This window comes from Homo sapiens, chromosome 10 (genome assembly GCF_000001405.40).
Source record: "Homo sapiens chromosome 10, GRCh38.p14 Primary Assembly".
Classification (NCBI taxonomy): Eukaryota; Metazoa; Chordata; class Mammalia; order Primates; family Hominidae; genus Homo; species Homo sapiens.
In genome coordinates, this window is record NC_000010.11 from 12,537,767 (window position 1) to 12,550,097 (window position 12,331).

The 12,331-nt window shown below is 44.6% G+C and overlaps 1 protein-coding gene across 7 annotated transcripts in view, besides 2 other annotated features; it reads left to right on the forward strand.

The window, feature by feature from the left end:
- The window catches only part of CAMK1D (calcium/calmodulin dependent protein kinase ID), a 485,999-nt gene that overhangs the window by 188,220 nt on the left and 285,448 nt on the right, over nt 1-12,331 (forward strand). The gene's annotated exons all lie outside the window — the stretch shown is intronic.
- Nucleotides 2,769-2,818: a silencer, noted in NCBI's record as "silent region_2146". NCBI's record gives its function as "represses an Ori minimal core promoter by ATAC-STARR-seq in GM12878 lymphoblastoid cells {active_cell/tissue: GM12878}" and the evidence as "EXISTENCE:reporter gene assay evidence [ECO:0000049][PMID:35858748]".
- Nucleotides 11,716-11,785: a silencer, noted in NCBI's record as "silent region_2147". NCBI's record gives its function as "represses an Ori minimal core promoter by ATAC-STARR-seq in GM12878 lymphoblastoid cells {active_cell/tissue: GM12878}" and the evidence as "EXISTENCE:reporter gene assay evidence [ECO:0000049][PMID:35858748]".

Here is a 12,331-nt window from a genome sequence, read left to right on the forward strand (position 1 = left end):
ACTTGAATATTTTCCCCTTTCCGCTGAGACTTTTGGATTTTGCATTTTGCTTAAGAAGATTAACCTATGTATATCTTCTAATTCTTTTCCCCTAAAATGTTCCAACATTTTCATTGTATTTTTTTAATTTAGAAATTTAATCAACCTGAATTCTTCAAGGAACCCAGATTATCTTTCTATGTAATTAAGCACGGCCAAGGCATTGGAACTCACTGACTGAATATCACTTGCTGGATGCCGTATCAAATGCTAGGCCGAAGAACAATGACACGACTTGTGTTCCATCTTTTCCTTTTTAAAATGTACTCTCTGATCTTTCCTGTTCTGCGCACTGTGAGGCCCGTGGAAAGGGGAAGGCACCGTCAGCCACTAGCTGGGAACATACAGGGAAAATAGACCCGCTTAGTTTAGATTATGCTGGACTTGGTATTTTTGTTTCAAAATCCAGTAAAGAAACATGGTCCGTATCATTGCCTGTGACATTTACCCTCAGGAAAGATGCCAGCACTGAAGCATCCTGGTGGCTGACAGGTGATCTCTTTAGCTCTGTGACCCTCGCGTTTATAAGAGGTGAGACATGGTGATTTGTTCCTGCAGGTGAAGGGAAGGGAACAGTGACTGGAGAAAGGGAGGTCATTTTGCTGCTGCTTGTGAGATGTATCTGATTGAACGGTGAAAATGATCTGTGTATCCAGTTTTTATGTTTAAGCAGACTTTTCAGAAGCACTGAATTGTATGGCACGTGGGACAGTGTTAAATCATGCTAGTATTACATTTTTGTGTGTATGGTTTAGATACATTTCCAGAACGTATTGCTGACATACGCATTGTCTTGCGATGATGAGGATGGAGTGCCAGTTCCAGGAAGGGCCCGAGGAGGTGCAGGCCAGTTGCTAGGCGTCCAGCAGACTAGTGATTAGATGCAGAAGAGCATTATTATTCTCCATCCAGCCAGTACTGTGCAGAAAACAAACACACAGACCGTGCATGCTTAAGGCTTTCCCCACTTGGTGGGGTCCCAGGGCAGGTCAGGAGCTCTCCCTCGCAGCTTTTATCTGAAGTGGTGGGGGAGGGGGGCAGTGGAACTCATGTCCATATTGCAGGTGGCAAAACTGAGGCAAAAAAAAAAAAAAAAAAAGAGAAAGGAAGAGTGTAGGCAGCCTCATGGGAGAATCGAGACAAGAGCAACAGGCCTTGTCTCAAACAAGACAGGTGGTCTCAAACTCCTGTCCTCAAGCAATCCTCCTGCCTTGGTCTCCCAAAGTGCTGGGATTACAGGCATGAGCCACCACGCCTGGCCTCCGTCGTATTTTTAGATTGTAACTTACTTAACCAGTCCTCCATTAATGGATATTTAGGATTTTTCCAGTGTTCTGCTATTTCAAACTTTTATTGATTGTTTTAAGCCAGAATATTGATTTTTTTTTAACACAGACACAGCCAAACGTCCCTTTAATGTAGTAATTGTTTTACCTATAAGGACTCTGTTTTTTTATGGAATAGCTTGAAGCATACTTAAAGAGTGTATTGATGTGTGTTTAGTTAGCTGGGAGCTTAACAGAATTTTCCTTTAAGGTACTTGTTGAGACATCTGCCCTGAATGAGAATGGAAATAAGCTCAAAAGAGTGCCTAAAGTCAGAGGATCTGGTGAGTGGGAATGGCCAGATGAGGGATGGCCAGTTGGGATTAATCATGAACATTCTGTCCCGTCGTTGCTTCACCATTCAGGTTTTGCCAACCATGTGACAATGGAGCTATGCGGCTGGCATTGGGAGCATGTTGGATGTTTGTAGCAGTCAGAGAGCAGAACATGAGCATCTGCTAGGTCTGGTTCCCCCACCATCAGGGATGGGAGTGAGAAAGGGGAGTTCCCCTCTGAAGAGCCACCCCTGCAGGGAGAAATCTGTCTCCAACAGGAGATCTGGGAAGACCATAGTGAGAAGTGCTGTCGAAGAGGTCCGCACAGGTGATGAACAAAGGGGGTATCCTGGGGGTTGCAGTTTCATCCACGTCAGTACCTTTGTCATCCAAGGAAAATGCACCCTGGCAACAAATGCATGCATGGCCCACATGGACACTTTATTTGCCCTGGAGTGTTGCCAGCTTTTTAAGCTGTAGCTATGAGGAGATTTTGTAATCTCAAAAAGAGGTGAATTTTTTTAAGAGACAGGGTCTCACTCTGTCACACTGTAGGCTGGAGTGCAATGGTGATCATAGCTCATTGTAACTTTGAACTCCTGGGCTCAGGCGATCCACTCACCTCAGCCTCCCAAGTAAGTAGGACTACAGGTGTGTGCAACTACACCTAGCTAATTTTTTCTTTTTTCTTTTCTTTTTTTTTTGGAGAGTTGGGGGTCTTGCTCTGTTATCCAGGCTGGTCTCCAACTCCTGGCCTCAAGTGATCCTCCTGCCTTGGCCTCTCAAACTGTTGGGATTACAGGCGTGAGCCACTATGCCTGGCTTGAATATTTTATTCTGCCTCTGCCTTCAAAAACCAGGCTTCCATGGATGCTCCCTGTTGGTATAAGAAAAAAAAATGATTGACTCACTTTGGTTCCATATCAACCTTTAACAAATGGCATGAAAAGAGCAGAGATAAAATGTGGGAGCCTGTCAGAGAAGTGAAGGAGGAAAGGAAGGAGTGCTATTAAACAAAGCGTGTGTTTTAGAGTGTGGCAGTAGGCACTCATGTGGAATTTATTTGTCTTCTGCGTTTGGATCAGTGAGGCTGTTAACAGTAAAGACTTAGTGCCGCAGAAACACCTGCAGAAACCAAAGATATCACAAGCAATAATTGTGTCAGCATTTTGATGCCTTCTCCCTGTGACAAGTATTGTCATAACCTAGACCTGCCCTGGTGGTTTCAGACATAGGATTGTACTCAGAATGAAAACTGATCTGGACAGAAATTAAGCTAATCGTGTGGGTATTTAAGAATGTCTCATCATGGTTCTTGAAGCTATTATGCAGGATTGCTTATCATTGTGGAATTCACCAGTTAAAGAGGAAGATGAGAACGTTTCAGTAAGAAAGCGTAACTATTTTGAAGGATCTGTCTGTTCCTAAGCATCTACCTACTAAAGTTAAGGATATGTTTCTAATTTGAACTGGTTGGTCGGGCACTGGTCCCAGTTAATGAGAACCTGAGTTATAGGTTTTTTTTTTTTTTTTTAAGAAAAAGAATTTCGATACTTTTAGCTTAAGCGTTAGCATAAACAAATGTATGGCTTACTGTGTAATTGTCAGGTGGAGGGCTTTAAAAGACACATTTTAATGAATAGACATTGTATCTAAATTGGATATCCATTTTCTTGGATTCATATTTGTTCTTCAAGCCTGTGAAAGCAAGTCTTTTTGCTGTGTTTGCTTGGCAGAACTTTATTTTCCAGATTGGGCCTGGCTTTTCTTCGGTCAGTGTGCTGAATTAGCACTACAAAATGTCATTAGTGGTGTGTGATTTAGTGAAGATTTTTAGCTGAAGATTCTATCAGAAGGAGTTAATGTCAGTTCTAAAATTGCCAAGTTTCTGCCTGGAGAGTTGCGTACACATTGAACATTGAGACCATTGACTTCACTACTGGTTTTTTGTTTTTCTTTCTTTTCTTTTTTTGTTTAAGATGGAGTCTTGCTCTGTGACCCAGGCTGGAGTGCAGTGACGTGATCTCAGCTCACTGCAACCTCCGCTGCCTGGGTTCAAGCAGTTCTCCTGCCTCAGCCTCCTGAGTAGCTGGGATTACAGGCGTGTGCCACCACGCCTGGCTAATTTTTCTATTTTTAGAGACAGGGTTTCACCATGTTGGTCAGGCTGGTCTCGAACTCCTGAGCTTGTGATTCACCCGCCTTGGCCCCCCAAAAGTGCTGGGATTACAGGCGTGAGCCACTGCGCCCAGCTGACTTCACTACTGTTATGGTCCATTCGGATTCTCTGGGGTCTGTAAGGGTTGGAGTTAGCAAACAGGTTTTTCTGTTTGAAGAATTGATTCTGATCTGGAACAATAGGTCTAAAAGGCACCTGTCTGTTTCCTAGACGGTCTCAAGCCAAGTACCACTGACTTCACTTTTTGCTGTGTTTTATCTTCCTTCCTTCCTTCCTTCCTTCCTTCCTTCCTTCCTTCCTTCCTTTTTTTTTTTCAGGTCTCTCTTTGTCACCCTGGCTGGAGTGCAGCGGTGCAATCACAGCTTACTGCAGCCTCAGCCACCCAGCCCAAGTGATCCTCCCACCTCAGCTTCGTGAGTAGCTGGGACAATAGGCATGCACCACCATGGCAGGATAATTTTTGAATTTTTTTCTGGTAGAGATGGGGTTTTACCTTTTTGGCCAGGCTGGTCTGGAACTCCTGGTCTTAAGTGATCCTCCTGCCTTGGCCTCCCAAAGTGCTGGGATTACAGGCATGAGCCATGGAACCCCAGCTTTTCAGTGTTTTAAAACCAGCCTTTAATATTGTGCTGACGTGACACTGGGGAAAATAATATGCTTAGTAGAAAAGAACATTTTAATTTATGGTCGGAGGCTGGGGGGTAACGTCTGCAGGCCCAGTTACACAGTCTGGTAAGGGCAATAGGCTGGAAGCGATGCTGTTAATAAAGTTAATAACACCATCAGTCTGATTTGTATGTAGAATGACTAAAAAGCATAGAAAGGCAAAGAGCCAATAATAGCTACACTAAGCTAATAGGGCAGGTCATTTCAGCACCATCTGATTATTTCTTGGTCTAATTTGGGATGGATATAATTTCACCGAGTGGTTGGTTTAGTGAACTGTCATGAATCAAAAAGACAGCTCCCAAATCCCTGATTCTTGTTAAAAGTCAGAGGAGTCCTCTTGAGGTTTCATCAGTTCCATTCGACTAAGAGTTTTGGAGCACCTAAAATATGCAAGTCACAGCACATTGTTCAGAGGCTACATTTTTGACCATTTTGTGATTAAATTGCTCTTGTATGAGAAAAGAATTTATTTTAAATTGATGTGCACTTATTTATTTATTTATTTTTGAGACCGAGTCTCGCTCTGTCGCCCAGGCTGGAGTGCAGCAGTGTGAACTCAGCTCGCTGCAACAACCTCCGCCTCCCGGGTTTGAGCAATTCTCCTGCCTCAGCCTCCCAAGTAGCTGGGATTACAGGCATGCGCCACCATGCCCGGCTCATTTTTGTATTTTAGGTAGAGATGGGGTTTCATCATGTTGGCCAGACCGCTCTTGAACTCCTGACCTCAGGTGATTCCCCACTCCTCGGCCACCCAAAGTGTTGGGATTACAGGCGTGAGCCACCATTCCTGGCTATTATTATTATTTCTTTTTGAGATGGAGTCTTGCTCTGTCACCCAGGCTGGAGTGCAGTGGCACGATCTTGGCTCACTGCAACCTCCACTTCCTGGGTTCAAGTGATTCTCCTGTCTCAGCCTCCCGAGTTGCCGGGATTATAGGCACCCACCACCACGCCCGGCTAATTTTTGTATTTTTTCTATAGAGACGGGTTTATGCATGGTGGCCAGGCTGGTCTCAAACTCCTGACCTCATGTGATCTAACCGCCTTGGCCTCCCAAAGTGCTGGGATTACAGGTGTTAGCCACCACGCCTGGCCATTGCCCAATTATTAACAACTTTAGGTTAAATAGTAAAGGTATTAGAAACTGGAAAAGATTATGAGAAACTGGGATAGAAACAGATTCTCATTTCCATTTTTTATAATAATAATTGGTAGTGAGGAGGGAGTTAGCCAGTGTATCTCTGGGCTTGGCTTGGCTCTGAGTTCTGGGCCCAGCATAAGCTGAAGGTCTGGAGTTAAGATGCTCAGAATGACTCTATGATAATTTTTTAACTACTGGTAGGTACATGTCTATCTAAAGCACAGGAGAAGGATAAAAAACCAGTTCACAAACCCTTCAATGTCTGTTTTTAGCCAAGGCATCCTTAGGGCACACGCATTTTTGTGTTGCTTTTTCAGAGAACTCAGGAAGAAAAGGCATTCCCAGAGCCCAGCCCACTTCTTTTCTTTGCCCTGCCACTCACTGGTCGCTTGGACCTCAGATCGTTTCACTTGGAGAGGACTGAGAGAGGACTGGGTATACATTTAACAGCATGGAGAGCCAACCATCCTAACACCACAGTCCATTGAAACTGACTAGATAAAGCAAAGCAAAACAGCTTTTATTTTCCAGAGCCATCATTTATGAAGTTAAAAGCCTAAGTAGTCATTTAGAATTCTTTCATCACTATGGAAAATGGGATGGTTTCCTTTAGTCTTGGAAATTCAGCTCTCAAAAGATTATTTCCTCGCAGGCACCTGGCTTACAATCAGGATGAGCTGCCTGTGGGTGATGATTTGATTTTCTTTGAAATATGGGGAAAAGGAGGAAGGATTCAACTTTTGCAATTTGTACAGCCTATCATCAGGTGAAGAAAACATTTAGCATTTCAAGATTAAATTTTTATTTGACTTTTCCAGTAATTTATCACAGAGATTCCTTTTTGATGGAAATTTGGTGTTTTTTAAATAGAATAATGGCTTTCTTTATCATTCAAATAAATGTCTTGTCACAACTTGAAAAAAATGCAATTTTTGAAACACTGGAATTTTTATTTCTCCCACAGTTATGCATTTTATAAAGTCCTTTCATCTGTATAAAAATCTGCTGTCTCTTTTTACCAAATTTTACTTATTCAACAAGGATGAAGGTTTATAGGGAGAAAATATCATAAATTAACAAATTTAAGACTTTTTCCAGTCAAAACAAACAGTGATCTCAGGATTATTCAACTGTATAATATTACTTAAGCATTCAGGCACATAAGTGCATGTTTTAAAATAAATCAGGAAGGACTCAAATAATTTTTATGCCTCAAGAGAAACCTTTGAGGTTCTTTCTGCACAGGCTTGCATTGAAACTTAAAGAAACATATTACGGAGGAGAAAAGAGATGGTACTGTTTTCTAGTACTAGTGTTGAGTGGATAGTACTAGTGTTGAGTGGATAGTACTAGTATTGAGTGGATGGTACTAGTGTTGAGTGGATAGTACTAGTGTTGAGTGGATAGTACTAGTGTTGAGTGGATAGTACTAGTGTTAAGTGGATAGTACTAGTGTTGAGTGGATAGTACTAGTGTTGAGTGGATGGTACTAGTGTTGAGTGGATGGTACTAGTGTTGAGCGGAAGGTCATTAGGATACATTACTTACTTTGCAGATCTGCAGCACAGGAGAAGGGTGAAGAGCCTGATGGGGAATCAGAGGAGAGCCCCCAATAATGGTGATCATCAGAAGTGTCTTGAGCACCAGTTGGTACAAGTATTATTAGGTCTGAAGACACAGAAACAGAATGCATGCAACTCCTGTTCTCATACAGGAAGCATGTTAAGGACTGTAATGGGATGTGTACATGGGATAGGTAATGTACGTTTAAGCCACATTTTTTTCAGAATGAGGGCATCATTCTGCGTAGGTGAGAAGCAATTGAGAAAAACCTCAGGTGTTCGAGACCAGCCTGGTCAACATGGTGAAAACTAGTCTCTACTAAAAAAACAAAAAAACAAAAAAACTAGCTGGACATGGTGGTGTGCGTCTGTAGTTTTAGCTACTCAGGATACTGAGGCAGGAGAATTGCTTGAACCCCAGAGGCGGGGGTTGCAGTGAGCTAGATGACGCCACTGCACTCCAGCCTGGGTGACAGAGCGAGACTCCATCTCACAGTAAAAAAAAAAAAAAAAAAAAAAAGGAGGAAATATACCATCTGGGCCTTTGAAAAATACATGGAATTAGCCGGGCGCAGTGGCTCACACCTGTAATCCTAGCACTTTGGGAGGTTGAGGTGGGCGGATCACGAGGTCAGGAGATCGAGACCATCCTGGCCAACATGGTGAAACCCCGTCTCTACTAAAAATACAAAAATTAGCTGGGCGTGGTGGCGGGCACCTGTAATCCCAGCTACTTGGGAGGCTGAGGCAGGGGAATCGCTTGAACCAGGGAGTCGGAGGTTGCAGTGAGCCACGATGGCAGCACTGCACTCCAGCCCGGGTGACAGAGCGAGACTCCGTCTCAAAAAAGAAAAAGAAAAAGACATGGAATTTTGCCAAGCAGAAAGAAAAAGGAATGAATGACGTTCAGGGAAGGAGGGGGTGGGCAGAACTTGAACAAAGGCCAGTGGCGTGAAAGGCCGCTGTGTGTTTTGGAAACTAGCTGTTCAGCGGTGTGGTTGGGTTGAGCTGACATGTGTACGGCGTGGAGTGTTTGTACTGGGGACAGTGGCTGTAGTGACAGATGAGCCTGCGAAGTTGGGGTTAGGTTTAGAAAGGCTTTGAATGCCACGGGTAACGTGCAAAGGGATTTGAACTCGATCCCATAGACATGAAACCTCAAAGATTTAAGTAGGGTAATGACATAATCAAATCTTATTTCCAGAAGAGTAATTTCAGTAACAGATAGGAGATAGCAGGTAGCAGTGGGCTCGCTGGGGGCTACGGGACCAGGAAGGAGTGGTGGATATATTGCAGAAGTGAGAGAAGGAGGACATGAACCAGAGCCACGATGAAGGGATGGAGGAGCGGGCGGGCATTTGAGAGTCTTGTCAGCGGAAAACCTGAACGTAGTTGGTGATGGAAATGACAGAGACAGAGAGCAGTAAAGTAGACAGGTTTCTAGACCACATTACTGATTAAATGAAAAAGAGAAGTTTTGGGGTGAAGATAACTGTTTCACTTTGGTTATGGTGCTTTTGAGAGTCTGGGAAGGGCCTTTGTGGGTAGAGAAGGTGAGGTTTGCACATGAGAGAGATTAAAATATGGATGAAGGTTACCAGCCCAAATGTCCAACAATGATAGACTGGATTAAGAAAATGTGGCACATATACACCATGGAATACTATGCAGCCATAAAAAATGATGAGTTCATGTCCTTTGTAGGGACATGGATGAAGCTGGAAACCATCATTCTCAGCAAACTATCGCAAGGACAGAAAACCAAACACCGCATGTTCTCACTCATAGGTGGGAAGTGAACAATGAGAACACATGGACACAGGAAGGGGAACATCACACACCGGGGACTGTTGTGGGGTGGGGGTGGGGGAGGGATAGCATTAGGAGATATACCTAATGCTAAATGACGAGTTAATGGGTGCAGCACACCAACATGGCACATGTATAGATATGTAACAAACCTGCACGTGGTGCACATGTACCGTAAAACTTAAAGTATAATAATAATTAAAAAAAATATGGATGAAGGTTAGGAGGCCATCAAAGGACCAGAAGGGGCTCAGACTGTGGAAACAGCTGAGATTTCCATGTAGAGGATACAGACTAGAAAGAAGGAAAGGTTGCAGATGAAACCTTGGGGGCCCATTGATGTTTGAAGGGAGGAAGAGGAGATGGAGATGGAGCGGAAATGGACATAAAGGCAGAAGGAGAGAACGATGCTGTAGAACCAAGAAGCAAAGAACTTTAGGAAGGAGGTCAAGGCAAAAACCAGTAGGATGAGCAGTGAGAGGAAGCCATTGGGTTTAGCAACTAGGGGACCCCTGGGGGGCCCAGCCCACAAGGGTCCAGTCTAGTGGTGGTGGAGGAAGAAGGTCGACTGCAGAGAGAAGAGTGGGGCACGGGCTCCAGGCCAGTGCAAGCTGTGCCCAGACGACAGTTTCAGGTTGCCAATATGATTCAGTCTGGCTGGAGTGCTCCATCGTTCAGCTTTAAATGCACAGTGCTTGTGTTTTACAGCCTATAGAGTGCAACCTGATTTGACCTCTTTGTATTTTTAAAACTTTGTCACTCTGTCCCTGCTTTTGTTCTTTTGTCCCTTGGAATGTATGTTCTTGGGTTGGGGGAAGTCTTTATAGGTTTTCAGATCATTTTCCTTGCTTTAGTGTTTCCTGTCACGAGGACACCCCCCCCCCAACCCTGCACTCTCTCTCTCTCTTTCTCTCTCTCACACACACACACACACACCACTGTGTTATGTAATTACATAGAAAGTGCTCAAACTGTTCATTCGTGAGCTTTGTGTTTGATGTTTCTAATTAAATTTCCTGGAACAGGGGAAGTGTCTTCAAGTGATTTCTATTTATTGTGGGAACAATAACAATTTATGGTCATCTTATATCCTTTAAGAAGACCAGAGAACTTTGTCTTTGGAAAGCTTAAAGCGGGTCAATGCACATTGTTTGGCTAAATGATAAAGCAGCTGGATGTGCGGGCTCGGAGCGATGGCAGCTCATCTGACGACAGGGTCTTCTAACCCCTCCATCCCTGTCACCTGCGGTGCTTGCCACGCACACGCCCTGGTAGCCACCTGTATCAGCCCAGCGTGACACATTGAGAAAGGGCCTCGGAGGCAGTAGGAAACCGAGTTCTATTTTCTGTCCTTTACCACTTGTGTGATGGGACTCAGTATCCTCATCTCTAAAATGGAGATGACAGTAACTTCTTGTCTGCTTCATGGGGTCGCTGTAAGGAGTGGATTCACTGATACATGCCAAAGTCCTTTGTAAATATCAAGTCACTGACACCAGCTGGCACCCTACAGTTGATATAATTTTTTTCTCCTTTAGGGAGGTATTGAGTGAAAAGGTTTATCTAGTTTTTCCAATATGTCCATCCTCAGGCAACATCATTGATTAGAAGTAAGCAGACTTTTTATGTTTATCTTTTTATTGCAGTGAAATATACATAACATAAACTTTACCATTTTAAGCTTTTTTTTTTTTTTTTTTTTTTGCTGGGGGAGGAGGGGACAAGGTCTTGCTCTATGGCCCAGGCTGAAGTACAGTGCCGTGATCATGGCTCACTGCAGCCTTGACCTCCCGGGCCCAAGTGATCCTCCTACCTTAGCCTCCCAAGTAGCTGGTATGACAGGTGTACACCACCGTACCTGGCTAATTTTTAAATTTTTTCTAGAGACAGCATTTTGCTGTGTTGCCCAGGCTGGTATCAAACTCCTGGGCTCAAGCGATCCTCCCACCTCAGCCTCCCAAAGTGCTGGGATTATAGGCATGAGCCACCGCGCCCGGCCTATTTTAACCATTTTACAGAGTACAGTTTGGTGGCATCAACTACATTCACATTGTTGTGCAACCATCAACCCCATGCATCTCCAGAAACTTTTTATTTTTTATTTTTTTGAGACAGAGTCTCGCTCTGTCATCAAGGTTGGAGTGCATAGGCGCGATCTCAGCTCACTGCAACCTCCGCCTCCTGGGCTCAAACGATTCTCCCACCTCAGCCTGCTGAGTAGCTGGGACTACAGACATGTGCCACCACACGCTGCTAATTTTTATATTTTTAGTAGAGATGGGGTTTCACCATATTGGCCAGGCTGGTCTCAAAATCCTGACCTCAAGTGGTCTGCCCGCCTTGGCCTCCCAAAGTGCTGGGATTACAGGCATGAGCCACCGTGCCTGGCTTCCAGATCCTTTTCATCTTCCCAAATGGAAACTCCGTCCCCATTAAACAGAACTCCCCATTGCCTTCTCCCCCTAGTCCCTAGCAACCACAGTTCTACTTTCTTTCTCTATGAATTTGATGACTTTGGACACCTCCTGTAAGTAGAATCATACGGTATTTGGCTTTTTGTATCTGATTTATTTCCTTTAGCATAATGTCCTCAGAGTTCATCCATGTTCCAGCATGGGTCAGAATTCCATTGCTATTTATGGCTATTCTGTTATATGTGTGGACCATATTTTATCCATTTGTCCCCCAATGGATGCAAGGATTGTTGCCACCACGTGGCTGTTGTGAATAATGCCTCTGTGAATGTGGTTGTCCACGCACCTGTTCAGTCCCTGCTTTCACTTCTGGGTATAGACCTAGGTGTGGAGTTGCATGCTGACTTGCATTCGCAGAGAATGGGTCTGGAACCTTGGCTCCCTGACTCTGCTCAGGATCTTCTGATGGAGACTCCTTGGTCATGTTGTGTCAAGCCTGGGCTGTTTAGCACGTGACTCTCTTGACATAACTCCGTGCCGTTGTCCTGCCTTCCCCATGGGGCGCCACATAGCCCATCCCCACCTAACCAGGGACAAAGGCAGAAAAATCCTAGCTCCACGGGCACTACTGCCTCTCCATGTTGTCAGCTTCCTGCCGTGGCAGTGCTGGCTCTGAGGAGACCCCTCGCTCCCCTCCCCAGTCTATTGTCTCTCGGGCTGAGTCCTGCGGCAACCTCGCTTCTCACTGTTTCCTCCAAGCGAGGAAATGCTTTTCTCTTACAGGCTTCCAAGGGTCCGATTGAGCAGGTTGTCCCCTCTGCGTTGGCCGTGGTCATTTCTGATCACAGGGATTCTGTAGAGGAAGGAGCACCTGTGGATGGAGAGTGGAGCGAGGGGCAGCCCAGGAGGAGAGGGGCC